At 46.0% G+C, this 16,904-nt stretch overlaps 1 protein-coding gene across 15 annotated transcripts in view, besides 2 other annotated features; it reads right to left on the reverse strand.

Moving 5' to 3' along the window:
* DNAH3 (dynein axonemal heavy chain 3) overlaps positions 1 to 16,904 on the reverse strand; it is a 226,349-nt gene that overhangs the window by 36,226 nt on the left and 173,219 nt on the right. For 14 of the 15 annotated variants that reach the window (XM_017023432.2, XM_047434349.1, XM_047434348.1 and 11 more), the window contains 5 exons: positions 15,713 to 16,379; positions 13,385 to 13,550; positions 9,994 to 10,210; positions 5,897 to 6,079; positions 456 to 654 (listed from right to left, as the gene is read on the reverse strand). In XM_017023432.2, coding sequence (XP_016878921.1) covers positions 456 to 654; positions 5,897 to 6,079; positions 9,994 to 10,210; positions 13,385 to 13,550; positions 15,713 to 16,379 — 1,432 coding nt within the window. Of the gene's footprint in view, positions 1 to 455; positions 655 to 5,896; positions 6,080 to 9,993; positions 10,211 to 13,384; positions 13,579 to 15,712; positions 16,380 to 16,904 lie in introns of all 15 variants that reach the window. The other variant, NM_017539.2, reaches the window with a different exon arrangement.
* Positions 1,686 to 2,885: an enhancer, noted in NCBI's record as "CDK7 strongly-dependent group 2 enhancer chr16:20982344-20983543 (GRCh37/hg19 assembly coordinates)". NCBI's record gives its function as "activates an origin of replication core promoter dependent on BRD2, BRD4, P300/CBP, MED14 and CDK7 cofactors, with strong dependence on CDK7, by STARR-seq in HCT116 cells {active_cell/tissue: HCT116}" and the evidence as "EXISTENCE:reporter gene assay evidence [ECO:0000049][PMID:35650434]".
* Positions 4,386 to 4,886: an enhancer, noted in NCBI's record as "H3K27ac hESC enhancer chr16:20985044-20985544 (GRCh37/hg19 assembly coordinates)". NCBI's record gives its function as "activates a minimal SCP1, AML or CMV promoter by ChIP-STARR-seq in naive H9 embryonic stem cells {active_cell/tissue: H9 hESC(naive)}" and the evidence as "EXISTENCE:reporter gene assay evidence [ECO:0000049][PMID:30033119]".

A 16,904-nucleotide genomic window follows, 5' to 3' on the forward strand; every position in this document is an offset into this window, starting at 1 on the left:
GGTCTCCATTTATTTTTCAGACTCTTTCTCTCTGTTCCTTTCTTTGTCTCTGTCTCATTCTTTTGCTTTCCCTAACTCTCTTTCTCTGCTTCTCTCTCTCTCTCTCTCTGTAGCTCTCCTGGTCACCCACACGTGACTCTGTGTTTGTTCCACACCAAGCCTTTTGTCTACCTGACCTTCATTTTTGTAATGACTTGCAGGGAGAAGCCTTGACTGAGCTCAGCTCCACCTACAGATACCTGCATTTTTCCCAACTGACTGAGAGGGCGGAGGCCGCTGGAGAAGCCTGAGAGAGGCCTTGGGTGCACACACACAGCCTGGTTCCTTTCTTAATTCCTCCAAACTCAGTGATCTTGCCTGCACGCCTGCAGTCGACTTGGGGATGCAGTGGGTGCTGGCACCCCACTGCCAGGAAAGAGCAGCCTGTGCAGGCATCTGGGTGGGGTGGCACTTACCGGAGCCACTGGGGTCTGGCTTCCTCTCTGGCTTCATCCCTTTCATGATGCAGATGCTCTCCATGACCAGTTTGACAGGGCCTGGTGGGTTCTGCATCGACTTCACCAGCGAGATGTCGGCCGGGTTCAGGGTGTCCAGAGCAGCTAGTGCAGCCTCGAGTGCAGGCATTGCCTCAGCTAGGTCCCCCTCACATTCGTTCTGTGGGCGGCATGAGGACAAAGGAGATGAGTGCCCAGGGCCTGGCACAATGGGGGCGAAGCAGAGCTCCACTCCTACATGAGGAAGAAGGAAGAGGTGCTTCCTCTTCCAGATACCCTTTAACATGGTGCCTGCCGCTGGAGCTGGACAATGGCTCTGACCGTTAACCAGCAGCCGGAACACATGCATGGCCTTTTGGGGCTGTGGTCTGGATGTCCCGAACATCTGAGCATTCAACTTATTTGCTTTTTTGGCCAGGCACAGTAGCTCATGCCTGTAATCCCAGCACTTTGGGAGGCCAACGTGGTGGATCACTTGAGGTCAGGAGTTCCAGACCAGTCTGGCCAACATGGCAAAACCCTGTCTCTACTAAAAATACAAAAATTAGCCAGGCGTGGTGGTGGGCGCTTGTAATCTCAGCTACTCAGGAGGCTGAGGTAGAAGAATTGCCTGAACTGGGGAGGCGGAGGTTGCAGTGAGCTGAGATTTTGCCATTGCACTCCAGCCTGGCCGACAAGAGTGAAATTGAAACTCTGTCTAAAAACAAAAACAAAACAAAAATCTCACATAGGCATTGTTACCACATTTGTTTCTATGCTAAAAACATAATTTAAAATTGCCCCTGAGTCTTAGCATGAAAAGAGCAATCGGATTGTTTGAGAGGTATGGAGTTCAGTGCAGTGTGACGAAATGTAATCAGATCACAGTAATTTTGGTATCATTGATCATCCTCATTAGGGGGGAAAGAAATAATTGGAAAGAATTGACCAATGTAAGCAAACCATTGCGCTTGTGAATCAAGAGTTGGTGACCTGATTCTTGCTCTTCCAGTCTTTGTCTTCCCAGTATGGATTTCTTTTCTTTTCTCTATTCTTTTTTTTTTTTTTTTTTTGAGACAGAGTCTCGCTCTATCATCCAGGCTGGACTGTAGCAGCGGTGCTATCTCGGCTCACTGCAACCTCTGCTTCCCGGGTTCAAGTGATTCTCGCACTTCAGGCTCCCGAGTAGCTGGGACTACAGGTGCCTACCACCAGGTCTGACTAATTTTTGTATTTTTAGTATAGATGGGGTTTCACCATGTTGGCCAGGCTGGTCTCGAACTCCTGACCTCAAGTGATCCGCCCGCCTCGGCCTCCCAAAGTGCTGGGATTACAAGCATGAGCCTCTGTGCTCAGCCGTACTTCTGAGTTTCTAACAAATCACTTTTTTTTTTTCTTTTTTGGTAAAGAGCAGGGAACTAACTTTGTCTCCATATAAAGAAACACTAAAATTTATGTTTCTTAAAGGCAAATTAGGATCAAACAGAAACTCCTAATATGGATTTCATTTGCATTCCTACTGTGCATTCGGTACCCTACTGGGCACTATTCCATCTTGTGTCATTTCTGGGAGTGTGAGGAGATTAGAGAAAATTAGCAACTTCTCCTGGGCAGGAGGGCCACAGCCCTGAAAGGTCCAGGAAGGGATTCCGGTCCACAAAAAAGCCTCAGGAAAGCTGCACAATCAGACACCGGTTTCTCCTCCTCCCTGGGTAGTTTCTTCCACTTCCTGACTCATCCCAGGATGTCACTCCCTGGAAGAGGGATGGGATGGCAGAGACTTGAGCCTCACCCTTTGCACCGAAACCTGATGTGGCAGTTATTGCCTGGGAGTGGGTGTAGTGGGGCGTCCTGGGTCACCGCCTTACAAACCTTGTGCGATCACTCACCTCCCTCCTGCTCCAACAAGTCGCTGTTTGGCCTGACATTACAGAGCAGAATCTTGGCTGTGCTGTTTTCCTTCCCTCTGCGACCCACATGTGGAAAGGGGCTAGCCTTGGTCACATAGGCAAGTCCCCTTGGTATAGAGCAAAGTACAGCAGTTTTGAAGAATCACTAACATAGACCCTTACGCTCTGGCACAGGCTACAAATGTTACATGTTTTCCTCTTAGTACCCCCATTTTGTAGATGAAGAAACTGAAGCTAGGAAAGGACAGAGCAAAAATTGAGCCCTGATGTACCTGATTCTAGCACAGAAACATTAAAGAGTTGCCAATTCATGCGCCTCAGGGGCCAGGCCAGTGAGTGCGAGTGGGTGGGGCTGGGACTTTGGTGAATTGGAACACACAGGGGCAGCATCTATTTAATACCGAAGATGAGTGCAACCCGGGAGGGCAGCTCCGATGTTGCCAGGTTGCCCGATGTTTTCCAAAGAAAAGCTGAAAATTCAGAATTGTTACTTGAAATCTCCTGATTTTTTTTTCTCTCTTTTTTTTTTTTTGAGATAAGATCTTACTCCGTTGTCCAGGCTAGAGTGCAGTGGTGGGATCATAGCTCACTGCAGCTCCTGGAATGAAGTGATCCTCCTGTCTCAGGCTGCTGAGTAGCTAAGACCGCAGGTGTGCTCCACTGCACCTGACCAATTTTTTTCTTTTTAGTTTTTTGCAGAGAAGAGTTTTCACTATTGTTACCTGGGCTGGTCTGAAATTCCTCCTTGCCTCAAGCCATCCTCCTGCCTCAGCCTCCCAAAGCACTGGGATTAAAGGCATGACCCATCATGGCTGGCCCATTATCACTGATGGTTTCCATTCACCTCGTGTCTATTCTACCAGGACTACAAGTGAAAAAGCATCTGTAATTCAGGGTATTCATTATGTGACTCTGACAGGGATCAGACCCACCCAGGGGATCTCCCACAGGCCAGGTCTCAGGACTCAGTGGAGAAAAGCCAATCAAAAAGGCCTGCCCTTCTGAGACAATGCCCCGTGATTTTTTTTTTTTTTTTTTTTTTTTGGTCACTCAGGCTGGAGTGCAGTGGCATGATGTCAGCTCACTGCAACCTCTACCTCCCAGGTTCAAGTGATTCATGTGCTTGGGCCTCCTGAATAGCTGGGATTACAGGTGCCCACCACCACGCCCGGCTAATTTTTATTCTTTTAGTAGAGACAGGGTTTCACCATATTGGCCAGGCTGGTCTCCAACTCCTGACCTAAAGTGATGCACCTGCCTCAGCCTCCTAAAGTGTTGGGATTACAGGCGTGAGCCACCTCGCCCAGCTGCCATGACCTATTTATGATAGAAGACACATAGGCTGCTTTTTAATCAAGCCCTTGTTTGAAGAATGGTTGAGAGAATTTTCTGTTAAGTGGGGGCATAGGTTCAAGTATGTTAAGGTAAGTGCCATGAACCTTGGCTTCTAATCCCACTAACCATGCAGCTCTGGAAAGTCAATTTACCACTGAACCTCAATGCTGTCAACTCTCATATGCCCATGTCTGTCATTCTTTTTTTTTTCTTTTTGAGATAAGGTCTTGCTCTGTCACTGAGGCTGGAGTGCATTGGTGCGATCTCAACGCACTGTAACCTCTACCTCTCGGGTTCAAGAAATTCTCCCACCTCAGCCTCCTGAGTAGCTGGGATTACAAGCATGTGCCACCACACCCAGCTAATTTTTGTATTTTTAGTAGAGATAAGGTTTTGTCATGTTGGCAAGGCTGTTCTCAAACACCTGACCTCAAGTGATCTGCCCACCTTGGCCTCCTGAAGTGCTGGGATTACAGGCATGAGCCACCTTTCCCGGCCCTATCTGTCATTCTGAAGTCTCAAAGTAGTTGTAATGCTCAAATGTAACCATGTACTTCAAAGTGCTTTGTGAAATATACAACATCACATCAGTGCTAATTGAAGAAGTAGATTTTCTTCTACTACGTGAACGTAGGTCAAGCCCTTACCAGGACTATTTCCTCTCTGGCACAAGAATCACCTTCAAGCGGGTTTCCTCTAGGTTCCACATTCTGTCATCCAACAAATATTTATTCCACGCCTACAACACGCCAGGCATAATTTAGCAAAAATACAATGGAGACGAAGGAAACAGCCATGTGGATATCAAAAGGAAGGGCATTCTGTGTAGAGGGAACAGCCAGTTCTTAGGCTCTGGGGTGGGAGTGCGGCTTATGATTATTTAACAAATAGCTAGGAGACCAACATGGCCAGAGTACAGGGAATGAAGGAAAAGTGGTAAAACATGAGGTCAAAACATATTGGGTCTTTTTGTTTGTTTGTTTTTGAGACTGGGTCTTGCTCTGTCACCCAGGCTGGAGTGCAGTGGTGCGACCTGGACCCACTGTAGCCTCGACCTCCTGGGCTCAGGACCCTCCCACCTCAGTCTCCTGAGTAGCCGGGACCATAGGTGCATGCCACCACAGCTGGCTAATTTTTTTTTACATTTTTTGTAGAGATGGGGTTTGCCATGTTGCCCAGGCTGGTCTTGAACTTGGCTGGTCTTGAACTCCAGGACTCAAGCAATCCACCCACTCAGCCTCCCAAAGTACTGGGATTACAGGCATGAGCCACTGCCCCTGGCCACTTTGTTTTGTTTTGTTTTGTTTTTTAGACAACACAAGGTCTTGGTCAGCTACTCGGGAGGCTGAGGTGGGAGGATCACTTGAGTCCAAGTGTTCAAGGCTGCAGTGAGCTATGGATTGCAGTGGCACGATCCTAGTTCACTACAGCCTCAAACTCCTGGGCTCAAGCAATCCTCCCACATCAGCCTCCTGAGTAGCTGGGACTACATGGGTGTGCCACTACACCTGGCTGTTTTATAGTGTTTTTTTTTTTTTTTTTTTTTTGTAGAGACAGAATCTTGCTACGTTTCCCAGGCTGGTCTTAAACTCCGAGGCTCTGGCGATCCTCCTGCCTTTGTCTCCCAAAAATCTGGGATCACAGGTGTGAGCCACCACACCTGCCCATATGTTGGGTCTTAATGCTTCCTGGTTTCAGCGATGTTTCAGAACAACTTCCTTCATCACTTATCAGCTATGTGATGCTGGGAGAGTCGCCTACCCCTTATTATTATTATTATTTTTTTAGAGTTTCACTCTTGCCGCCCAGGCTGGAGTGCAGTGGTGCAATCTCAGCTCACTGCGACCTCTGCCTCCCAGGTTCAAGCAATTCCCCTGCCTCAGCTTCCTGAGTAGCTCGGATTACAGATGCACGCCACCACACCTGGCTAGTTTTTTTTTTTTTTTTTTTTTTTAAAGTAGAGATGAGGTTTCTTTATGTTGGTCAGGCTGGTCTTGAACTCCTAACCTCAGGTGATCCACCTCCCTTGGTCTCCCAAAGTGCTGGGATTACAGCTGTGAGCCACCATGCCCAGCCTTGCCTACCCTTTCTGAGCCTCACTTTTCTCATCCGTAAGATGGGTATAACCACGCTCATTCGGCAGCACCAGTTCCCTCCCTTTCTTCTCAGTCTTTCTACCTTGATTCCTTGGGCAATGGCAGCAGCAACATTGGCTTCTTTTTCATCTGCCTGCACCAGAAGTTTCTTTCCATCAGCTTCTCTCGTCTCCGCTTCAATTTTCACCATCATCTTGGCAGTTTCCTCGGAGGTGAGGATGAGTTGAGGTTGAAGAGCTGTCAGTTCTCTTTGCATAACCGCTACCTAGCAAGGAGAGAGGTGGGAGAAATCCAGGGTCAGCACTGAAAATGGCAAAGTAGACAAGAATTGAAATGATTCTCCAACCTATGACATAAGCAGAAAATATGTACTAATGATTTTGACATGGTCCTGGGTACAGATTCGTTTCCTAGTGATTATCTCATAGGTTTTTCAACACAGTTATTGAGTTTACACTCTGCATTGTGGTTATCAAGCACTGTGCTAGGCACTAGACATATAATTGTAAACTAAAATCTTTTTTAAAAACCGTTTCCTCCCTCACTGAGTCTATATTGTAGTGTTGGGGGTAATGGGAGAGAGACAGAGCAAAAGCAAGTTAAGACTTTTTTTTGACAGAGTCTCACTCTGTCACCCAGGCTGGAGTGCAGTGGCATGATCTTGGCTCACTGCAACCTCCAACTCCTGGGTTCAAGCAATTCTCCTGTCTCAGCCTCCCAAGTAGCTGGGACTACAGTCACACACCACCACGCCTGGCTAATTTTTATATTTTTAGTAGAGACGAAGTTTCACCATGTTGGTCAAGCTGGTCTAGAACTCCTGACCTCAGGTGATCCACCCACCTTAGCCTCCCGAAGTGCTGGGATTACAGGCATGAGCCACCACGCCCGGCCAAGAAATTTTTTTTTAAACTACATTTTTTTCTTGGCTTGTAATCCCAGCAATTTGGGAGGTAGAGGTGGGAGAATTGCTTGAGCCCAGAAGTTCAAGACCAGCCTGGGAAACATAGTGAGAACAGGTCTCTACAAAATTTTTTTTTAAGTTAAAATATTTTTTCTTTTTTTGAGATGGAGTCTCACTCTATCACCCAGGCTGTAGTGGTGAGATCTCAGCTCAATGCAACCTCTGCCTCCTGGGTTCAAGCAATTCTCCTGTCTCAGCCTCCCATGTGGCTGGGATTACAGGCATGTGCCACCACACCCAGCTAATTTTTGTATTTTTAGTAGAGATGGGGTTTCACCATGTTGGCCAGACTGGTCTTGAATTCCTGACCTCAGGTGATCCACCTGCCTTGGCCTCCCAAAGTTCTGGGATTACAGGCATGAGCCACTGTGCCCAGCCAAAATAATTTTTTAAAGCTACATTTTTTTCTTAAAGGCTATGAAGAAAAAAGACAGCTGAGATAGAAGGTACTTTCAAGGCTACTTTTTCCAATAGTATTGTGGACTAAATGTTTGTGTCCTCCTCAGATTTATATGTTGAAGCATAATCCCCAATTTGATGGCAATTATAGGCGAGGTCTTTGAAGATAATTAGAGTTAGAAGAGGTCATAAGGGTGAGGCCCACATGATGGGGTAAATGCCCTTATATAATAAAAAGAGGAAGCCACGTGAGATCTGTCTCTTCCCACTGTGTGAGGACACAGCAAAAAGGCAGCCGTCTGCAAACCAGGGAAAGAGCCCCCACCAGACAGTGGATCTGCTAGTGTCTTGATCTTGAACTTCCCAGCCTCCAGAACTATGAGAAGTAAACGTTTGTTGTTGAAGCCACCCAGTTTGGGATATTTTGCTATGGCAGCCCAAGCTGACTAAGACAAACAGTCTGATGCTCTATAAAACATTCCTGCCAAGTAGTTTTCTGGTCTCTGAACTCCTCTAATAACAGGGAGCGCACCACCTCTCATGAGGGTTGTGCCATTTTTTAGACAATTAAACCCATTAGGCCAGGCTCAGTGGTTCACACCTGTAATCCCAGCACTTTGGGAGGCTGAGGTGGGCAGATCACTTGAGGTCTCAGGAGGTCGTGACCAGCCTGACCAACATGGAGAAACCCTGTCCCTACTAAAAACGCAAAAATTAGCCAGGCGCTGTGGCACGTGCCTGTAATCCCAGCTACTCGGGAGACTGAGGCAGGAGAATTGCTTGAATGCGGGAGGTGGAGGTTGCAGTGAGTCAAGATTGCACCACTGCACTCCAGCCTGGGTGATGGAATGAGACTCTGTCAAAACAAAAACAAAAACAAACAAACAAACAAAAAACCATTAGCTTTTCCTGATGCAGAGCTAGAATTACCCCCCTGAAGTTTGCACTCACTGGTCATGATTCTGCCTTTTAAGGCAGCTCAGACAAACAGGGTTGGGTTTCATGTATTTGGAGACAGTTTTCATGACCTTGCACCCAATGCCCCCAGTGAGCTTGTGTGAGACCACAAGCACAGCAGGCTGGCCTAGTTAGGAACATAGGTTTTGGAGTCATGCAGATCTAAGTTTCAGTTCTAGCTGGACCACTCCCCAGGCTGTGTGATCATGGGCAAGACACTTGGCCTCTCTGTGTCCTGGCTTCTTTGTGTATCACATGGAGATGGTAACGATACTTTCTTCACACACAGCACTAGGGATGCAGTAGGACCCAAGAAATGTTAACTGGTGCAATCATTTTATTTTCTGGTCTAGACTGTCTTAGGTCCTTTTGCTGTTCCTCAGACACGACCGACCTCACCCTTGCTGGACAGACTTCACTTTCAACATCTCTAAAAACCAACCACTCAAATCCCCAGGAACAGAGCAACAGAGGCCATTTCCAATGTTCTCTCCCATCCCTGCATTGCAGTGTTTGTGGGTTTGCTGTACACAGAGCCAAGCTCTGTAAATCAATCAATGTTCTTTGGTCTTTATTGGGGCTGAAAATCCATCTCCTAGTACAGCTTTCATTTTAGATAATTTTTCAGGTGGCTCTAAGAACAAATTAATTAATAACTCATGTGCCAGGCATTTTGCTAAAGGCTGCACTGTGTCAGCTTACTTCATCTTCATAACAGCCCTATGCAGTGAAAACTGCTACCACTTAGTTTTTTCTTCTTTTTTAAAGGGACAAGGTGGCCGGGCGGGTGGCTCATGCCTGTAATCCCAGCACTTTGGGAGGCCGAGGTGAGCAGATCACCTGAGGTCAGGAGTTTGAGATCAGACTGGCCAACATGGCAAAACCCCGTCTCTACTAAAAATACAAAAATTAGCTGGGCGTGGTGGCACGCACCTGTAGTACCAGCTATTTGGGATGCTGAGACAGGAGGATCACTTGAACCCAGGAGGTAGAGGTTGCAGTGAGCTGAGATTGCGCCACTGAGTTCCAGCCTCAGTAAGAGAGAGATTGCGTCTCGAAAGAAATAATTATAATAAAATAAAGAGACAAAGTCTCACTCTGTTACCCCGCTGCAGTGCAGTGGTACGATCATAGCTCACTGCAGCCTCAAACTCCTGGGCTCAAGTGATCCTCCCACCTCAGCCTCCCAAGTAGTTGAGACTACAGGCACATGTCACTGCACTTGGCTAATTTTATTTTATTTATTTTTTTGTAGAGATGGGGTCTTGCTGTGTTTCCCAGGCTGGTCTCAAGCGATCTCTTGGCCTCAACTGATCCTCCCGGCTTTGACCTCCCAAATGCTGGGATTACAGACGTGAGCCACTGCACTGGGCCTTCACCTTTTTATAGAAGAGGAATCTGAGGCTCAAAGAAGTGAAATAACATGCCCCTGGCTCTACAGCTGGTATGCTGTAGAGATAAATTTGGGCCCAGATCTGACTCCACAAAGATATCTTGAATGATTCACTGCCTTATCCTGCCCAGGTCCCCATAAGGTGAGACAAGGGAGGCACTCACCTTGAGGACAAAACTTAAGGGGTCATTAAAAAAAAAGTACTCAAGATAAATAATACATTATTGCAATAGATTAAGAAATCAAAATTAATGCAAAAAACCCATGATGAACAAAATATCAAAATCTTAAAGACAGGATCCCACAGGGCAGGGATTACAGTGATGTAGGTAAGGTAAGCTCTGCAAATGCAGGGTCACATTCTGCTTGATCTGGTGTCCTCTTAATTCCGCACCTGAACACATGCCTCGGCACATCCACCTCGTCCCGGGCCTCTTTGTCTCTGTTCTGTTTTGGCAGTGCTCACCTGAGAAGCTGCAAAGTCGAGTTTCTGCAAGCCTGTCAGGTAGCGGTTCCTCATCATAGCCACCTCTTGCCTCTTGCTATTCAGGAGCGTCTTGAAGGTTAGAATCAATTCAAGGTAGGAGGTGGGGGTAACATAGTTGTGTCTTCGAAGTTTGTTGTAATAATCGAGTGACAGCTTCTTGACGCTCTCTTGGAAATATTTGCACATGGACACGACCCTGCCGAGGACACCAAGGCGGTTAGGCAGGACCCAACATCTTCCAGGGAGATCCAGTACAGCTTTAGTTATAGACATGAGGATATGAGAAGGCACATACACTGACTGTGACACGTTAGAATCCAAACTCTCTGAGGACATGTCAACAGAGCTGAGGCAGAGAAGGATGGGGCAGGTACATAGGTGCATACTCTCACACAAATGATTTTATATTTATTTATTGAGACAGTGTCTCTCTCTGACACCCAGGCTGGAGTGCAGTGGCGCGATCTCAGCTCGCTGCAACCTCTGCCTCCCAGGCTCAAGTGATTTTCCTGCTTCAGCCTCCCGAGTAGCTGGGATTACAGGCATGTGCCACCACGCCCAGCTAATTTTTCTATTTTCAGTAGAGGCAGAGTTTCACCATGTTGGTCAGGCTAGTCTGAAACTCCTGACCTCAGGTGATCTGCCCACCTTGGCCTCCCAAAGTGCTGGGATTACAGGCATGAGCCACCACGCCCAGCCACAAATGGTCTTTGATCAAGTCATTTCTATCACTGATCCCTTTGATGAATCACCAGGGCTTAAGCAGGAATTCCTAAACTTTGGTAGTTTGGAGATATTCCCTGACTTTGTAGAAAAAAAAATATATATATATATATATAATTTTATTATATATTTATTTATATTATTTATATTATTTATTTATATTATATATATAATATACATCATATATTATATTATAATATACATCATATATTATAATATACATCATATATTATATTATATATTATAATATATACTATATTATATTTTATTATATTTATTTATATATAAATATATATATATGTGGGGGGGGAGAGAGAGAGACAGGATTGCACTCTGTCATCCAGGCTGGAGTGCAGTGGCACAATCATGGCTCACTGTAGCCTTAACCTCCCTGGCTCAAGTGATCCTCCCACCTCAGCCTCCTGAGTAGCTGAAGTCTCAGGCACACACCACCACACCCAGCTAATCTTCTGCACTTTTAGTAGAGATGGTGGGGGGTGGGGTAGGGGTTGCTATGTTGCCCAGGCTAGTCTGGAATTCTCGACCTCAAGTGATCCACCAGCCTTGGCCTCCCAAAGTGCTGGGATTATAGGCATGAAACACCATGCCCAGCCAATTTTTAAAAATGCATAAAATAAAACACAGAATTACCATGGAAACCAATTATATTGAAATAGACTTTTTGAAATGTTTTAAAATATTTTAAAATTTGTAATATAGTAATATACATGCTGCTTTACTGAGGCATTAAATCAGGGATTAGTAAACCTTTTCTGGAAAGGGTCAGATAATAAATATTTTAGCCTTTGTGGACCACATGATATCTGTCACAGTTACTCAACTCTGCCATTTTAGTGCAAAAACAGCCACAGATGGTGTGTAAACTAATGGGCATGCGTGCATTCCAATAAAACTTTATTTACAAAAGCAGGGTGAATTCAACTAGGCCCATGAACCATAGTTTGTCAGCTTCTGCATTAAATAACAAGAGTGGGCAGCAGGTCTAAAAAGCACCATCAATTCGAAGAAAATTATACACTGAGTTAACTGTAATGATGCAATGAGTTCTGCAAAGAACTGATTCCTACTGGTAACAAAGTCAGGCCCTGCTCATCCCACTGGGGTTTACTGCCTACATTCATAACTGGAGGAAATGCAAAGTACCAGTTGGATGTCATTGGAAATGAAGATGTAATGTTTCCCATTCATATTCATCCACCCACTGAATTCTACCCACAAGCACGTGGACCCAGGTTAAGGGTCTTCTGGTCTAGATAATAAAGTTCAAAATACCCCAAATGGAATTTAAGGCCATTGACACTCTTACCCCTACCTACTTCCTCATTTTTCATCCATTAATTCAACAAACAGTGATTGAGCCTGGGTGCGGTGGCTCACGCCTGTAATCCCAGCACTTTGGGAGGCCGAGGTGGGCAAATCACTTAAGGTCAGTTGAGCCTGGCCAACATGGTGAAACCCAGTGTCCACTAAAAATCCAAAAATTAGCTGGGCATGGAGGCTCACACCTGTAATCTCAGCTACTCGGGAGGCTGAGGCACAAGAATCGCATTAACCCGGGAGGCGGAGGTTGCTGTGAGCCGAGATCGCACCACTGCACTCCAACCTGGGCGACAGAGTGAGACTCCATCTCAAAATAAATAGATAAATAAATAAATAAATAAAATAAACAATGATTGAACCTACTGTGTGCCAAGCACCTTCTAGAAACTAAGGAAACAGAGGTAGACAAGGTTGACTGATCTCTAGCCTTCATGGAACATCCAGAATGACTGATATTCTCACCTCTTCCCTTACTCTAGCCAAATAAAATGCTTTTTTTATATATGTATGCATATATACATACATAAAGTGTATAAAGCACATATATTATATATAATAAAGCATATATATAAAGCACATATATAATATATAATATATATAATTAAGTATATATATATAATAAAGCACATATATATATGTGCTTTATACATAAAAGAGTAAATTTTCACCCTTATAGGAACTAATTTTTGCCAGGTGCAGTAGCTCACACCTGTATTCCCAGCACTTTGGGAGGCCAAGGCGGGCAGATTACGTGAGGTCAGGAGTTCGAGACCACCCTGGCCAACATGGCGAAACCCCATATCTAGTAAAAATATAAAAATTAGCTGGACGTGATGGCAGGTGCCTGTAATCCCAGCTGCTTGGGGGAGGCTGAGGCATGAGAATCACTTGAATCTGGGAGGCAGAGGTTGCTGTGAGCTGAGATTGCACCAAGGAACTCCAGCCTGGGGGATAGAGCAAGACTCCATCTCAAAAACAAATAAACAAACAAACATTGTTTTGTGGTCTCAGCAGCAATCTTCTTCCTGTTGAGAATGCATATTCTAGGACTACTGAAATAGCTATATCATTATTCCAGGTTCTCATAGCTAGGACAAATCTCCAGGACAATTCTGAACAATGAAATTTTCTTCTTTTACAGACAAGATGCTTTATTAAATATCTAACTAACTGTGATTCAATTTAAAAGCATAAGACATTTGCTATATACAAATTGAGAAATCTTCAAAACAACAACAAAAATAGAGCCAGCGTCTGGACTTCAAATTTGGAATATCTAGAGTCCTAAAATGCAATCAACACTTACTCTACCCGAATGTTGTCATCAAGCTCCACATCCTCTAGAAATTTGTTAGCCACCAACTCTAGGGCATCTGTGGGCCAGGACTGGAACCAATCAATCGTACAGCAATTGATCAGCGAAGGGAACATCCGCAGGCGGTTCCTGAAGGCATCCCCTATTGGACTCATGGCTAATGAAAAGGAGATTTTGTTAATTACCTTCCTCCAAGGCAGGTGGACCCAAGGAGGCAGGCGGGTATTCCCAAGGATTCTGGTGGGGTAAGTGGGGGCAGGCTTCCTCCTGGCGCTCCAGGGATGTGACTGTCAATGGCCATAATGAGTGCCTGGGAAATGCGGGCTAATTAGTGGGATATTTTCACTTAACTTTGTGAGGAGCCCATTACAATAGCCCCTTTTTAAAAAAAATTTTAATTTTTTATTTTTTATTAAGACAGATTCTTGCTCTGTCACCCAGACTGGAGTGCAGTGGCGCAATCTCGGCTCACTGCAACCTCCGCCTCCTGGGTTCAAGCTATTCTCCTGCCTCAGCTTCCTGAGTAGCTGGGACTATAGGCACCCACCACCACTTCCAGCTAATTTTTGTATTTTTAGTAGAGACGGGGTTTCACCATTTTGGCCAGGCTGGTCTCAAACTCCTGACCTCAAGTGATCTGCCCGCCTCAGCCTCCCAAAGTGCTGGGATTACAGGCGTGAGCCACCATGCCTGAGTCTATTACCTTCTAACTGGTCTCCCATACACACTATTGTTCCTTCCGCATCCTTCGGGTCACGTAGCCAGTGTGGCTGGAGCCCTTTGATTGACTTGCTGTATTTGTGCTGATACACGGGAGCCATACACTGTTATTTATAGAAGTTGCTGTGAGGTCATCTGCTTGTTTCTGATCCCATCTCTGGCCAATAACAAATTTTGGGTTCCACACTTAAAATTCCATTCATTGTTATTTAGACTATGTGTGGTGGAAGGGAGCATGATGTCTAGGTGGAAGTGAAAGGTCACTGTGGGTAAAGAACAGAGGCCTGGCACAGTGGCTCACGTCTGTAATCCCAACACTTTGGGAGGCCAAGGCAGGAGGATCATTTGAGCCCAGGAGTTTCAGACCAACCTGGGCAACAAAGTGAACCCCACATCCCCGTCCCCTATCTCTACAAAAATGGAAAAAATTAGCTGGGCATCGTGGTGTGTGCCTGTAGTCCCATGTACTCAGGAGGCTGAGGTGAGAGGATCACTTGAGCCCAGGAAGTTGAGCCTGCAGTGAGCTAGAACCACATCACTGCACTCCAGCCTGGGTGACAGAGCAAGACCCTATATCCAGAAAAAAAAAAAAAAAAGACAGAAAGGGCGATGGTTTGAAAAGATGAAGGTGGAGAGGATACAGAGGACAGTCTGGCAGGTGGCCTTATGGCATTATGAGACCGCAGGTTAGTAATTTTGGTCCTTATCCCAATGTGTGTGTGTGTGTGTGTATATGTGTGCACGTGTGCGCATGCGTGCGTGTGTGTGTGTGTGTATGCATGCATGAACACAATGATAATATTTGCAGCATATGAAAAAAATCAGCCTGGCTTCATGGAACAGACAAGAATGGAGCTAGAATGATTAGAAAGTTGCAGAGGTGAGCCTGGGTAAAAGGATGGCAGCTTAGCCAATGTGAAGGTGATGGAGATGGAGATAAGAGAGTGGATATGAGACAGCTGGAGGTAACAGACAGGACTTGGTAAAGAAAGGGAAGTACTAAACACAATTGCTAGGTTTCTAGATACATTGGAAATGTCGTTCACAGAGAAAACCCGAGATGTCATTCTGTGCAAGGGTAATTCTCAGAGGAGAATTCAGGAAATTGAAGACGGGGGACAGGTTTGAAATTATTCAGGGTCCGGCACGGTGGCTTATGCCTGTAATCCCAGCACTTCGGGAGGCCGAGGCGGGCAGATCACTTGAAGCCAGGAGTATGAGACTAGCCTGGCCAACATGGTGAAACCCCTCTCTACTAAAAATACAAAAATTAGCAGGTGTGGTACGCGCCTGCAATCACAGCTACTCAGGAGGCTGAGGCACCAGAATCGCTTGAAACTGGGAGGCAGAGGTTGCAGTGAGCTGAGATCTCACCACTGCACTCCAGCCTGGGCAACAGAGCAAGACTGTCTTTAAAAAAAAAATTGCTGCTCAGAAGAGTGAAAAAAGTTGCCAGAGGAACTCCGGGCCCTGACCCCGAGCTGGTGCGTTGGCTGAATCAACCCTGGGACCATTGTAAGGGATTGGCCTGCTCAGGGCACTCAGAAGACCCCAAAACACCCAGAAGAACAAGGGCAAATGGAGTTTTCTTCTTCTTACCGAGGACAATGTGAAGGTTCTTTCTCACCCTCTCAATAAAGAAGTTATACATAGAAAGAGGAGTGACTTCAACCTTCTCTCCTTGGGTCCTGGCTGCAGTCTGCATCTTCTCCACGATGTCAGCCTTCTCGTCAGCAGGGAAGATGTTAGGCACGTCACCTGTGTTCAGAAGCATGTTGATGTCCTCCACGAATGATTCATCCTTGATCTGGTTGTCGGCGAAGAGGAACACGGTGCTCTTGGTGGCCACACCGACCTGCAGTATGATCTTCTTAAGATCTTCTCGCCAGTCATTGCCTGCGTAGTTCTTGGTGATCTCAATCTGGTATAGCTCGTATGCGTTCATGAATGTGGACAGTTTGGCGGCACTTTGCCGCCCGCTGCCCCCTATGCCCACCAGGAGCAGGTGGCCTTTGTCCTGCTTCAGGACACGGCAGATCCTAGAGATGTGCTCAATGGCAAACCTGAACATGACCAGGGACATGGGGGCCTTGCTGATGTTGTTGAATTCTTCCAGATAGTGCTCCATGACCACAGTCAGCTGTTTCAGGTCAGTGATCTCATCGTAGATTTTTTGGTCACTTTCTGGCTTGAAATAATCTCCAAAGAAGAGGCTTCGAATGTTATCATCGACTATCTTTCCAGTGGGTGACAAGTGGATAAGCACCTGTAAGAAAAGTAAATCTCGGCGGGGCATTCAGTGAATGGCCCAGCCAGGCTGGTAGGGACATCATGGAGGGAGGGCATGGGAGACGTGGCTTATTTCCTCTGAGCACATCCTTCAAGGTCATGGGTCATCAGTTTTGTTTTGTTTCGTTTTGTTTTGAGACAGAGTCTCACTCTGTCGCCCAGGCTGGGGTGCAATGGTGTGATCTCGGTTCACTGCAACCTCTGCCTCCTGGGTTCAAGCGATTCTCCCGCCTCAGCCTCCCAAATAGCTGGGATTACAAGCACCCACCATCATGCCTGGCTAATTTTTGTATTTTTGTAGAGATGGAGTTTCATCATGTTGGCCAGGCTGGTCCTGAAACTCCTGATATCAGGTTACCTGCCCACCTCGTCCTCCCAAAGTGCTGGGATTACAGGCATGAGCCACTGTGCCCGGCCCAGTCTTTTTGTTTTTTAAACATAATATGTGGATTTCATGCTTGTAAAGACTATAATGAAAGAACATTGCTGGGCACGGTGGCTC

The sequence above is a fragment of the Homo sapiens genome, chromosome 16 (genome assembly GCF_000001405.40).
Source record: "Homo sapiens chromosome 16, GRCh38.p14 Primary Assembly".
NCBI lineage: Eukaryota > Metazoa > Chordata > Mammalia > Primates > Hominidae > Homo > Homo sapiens.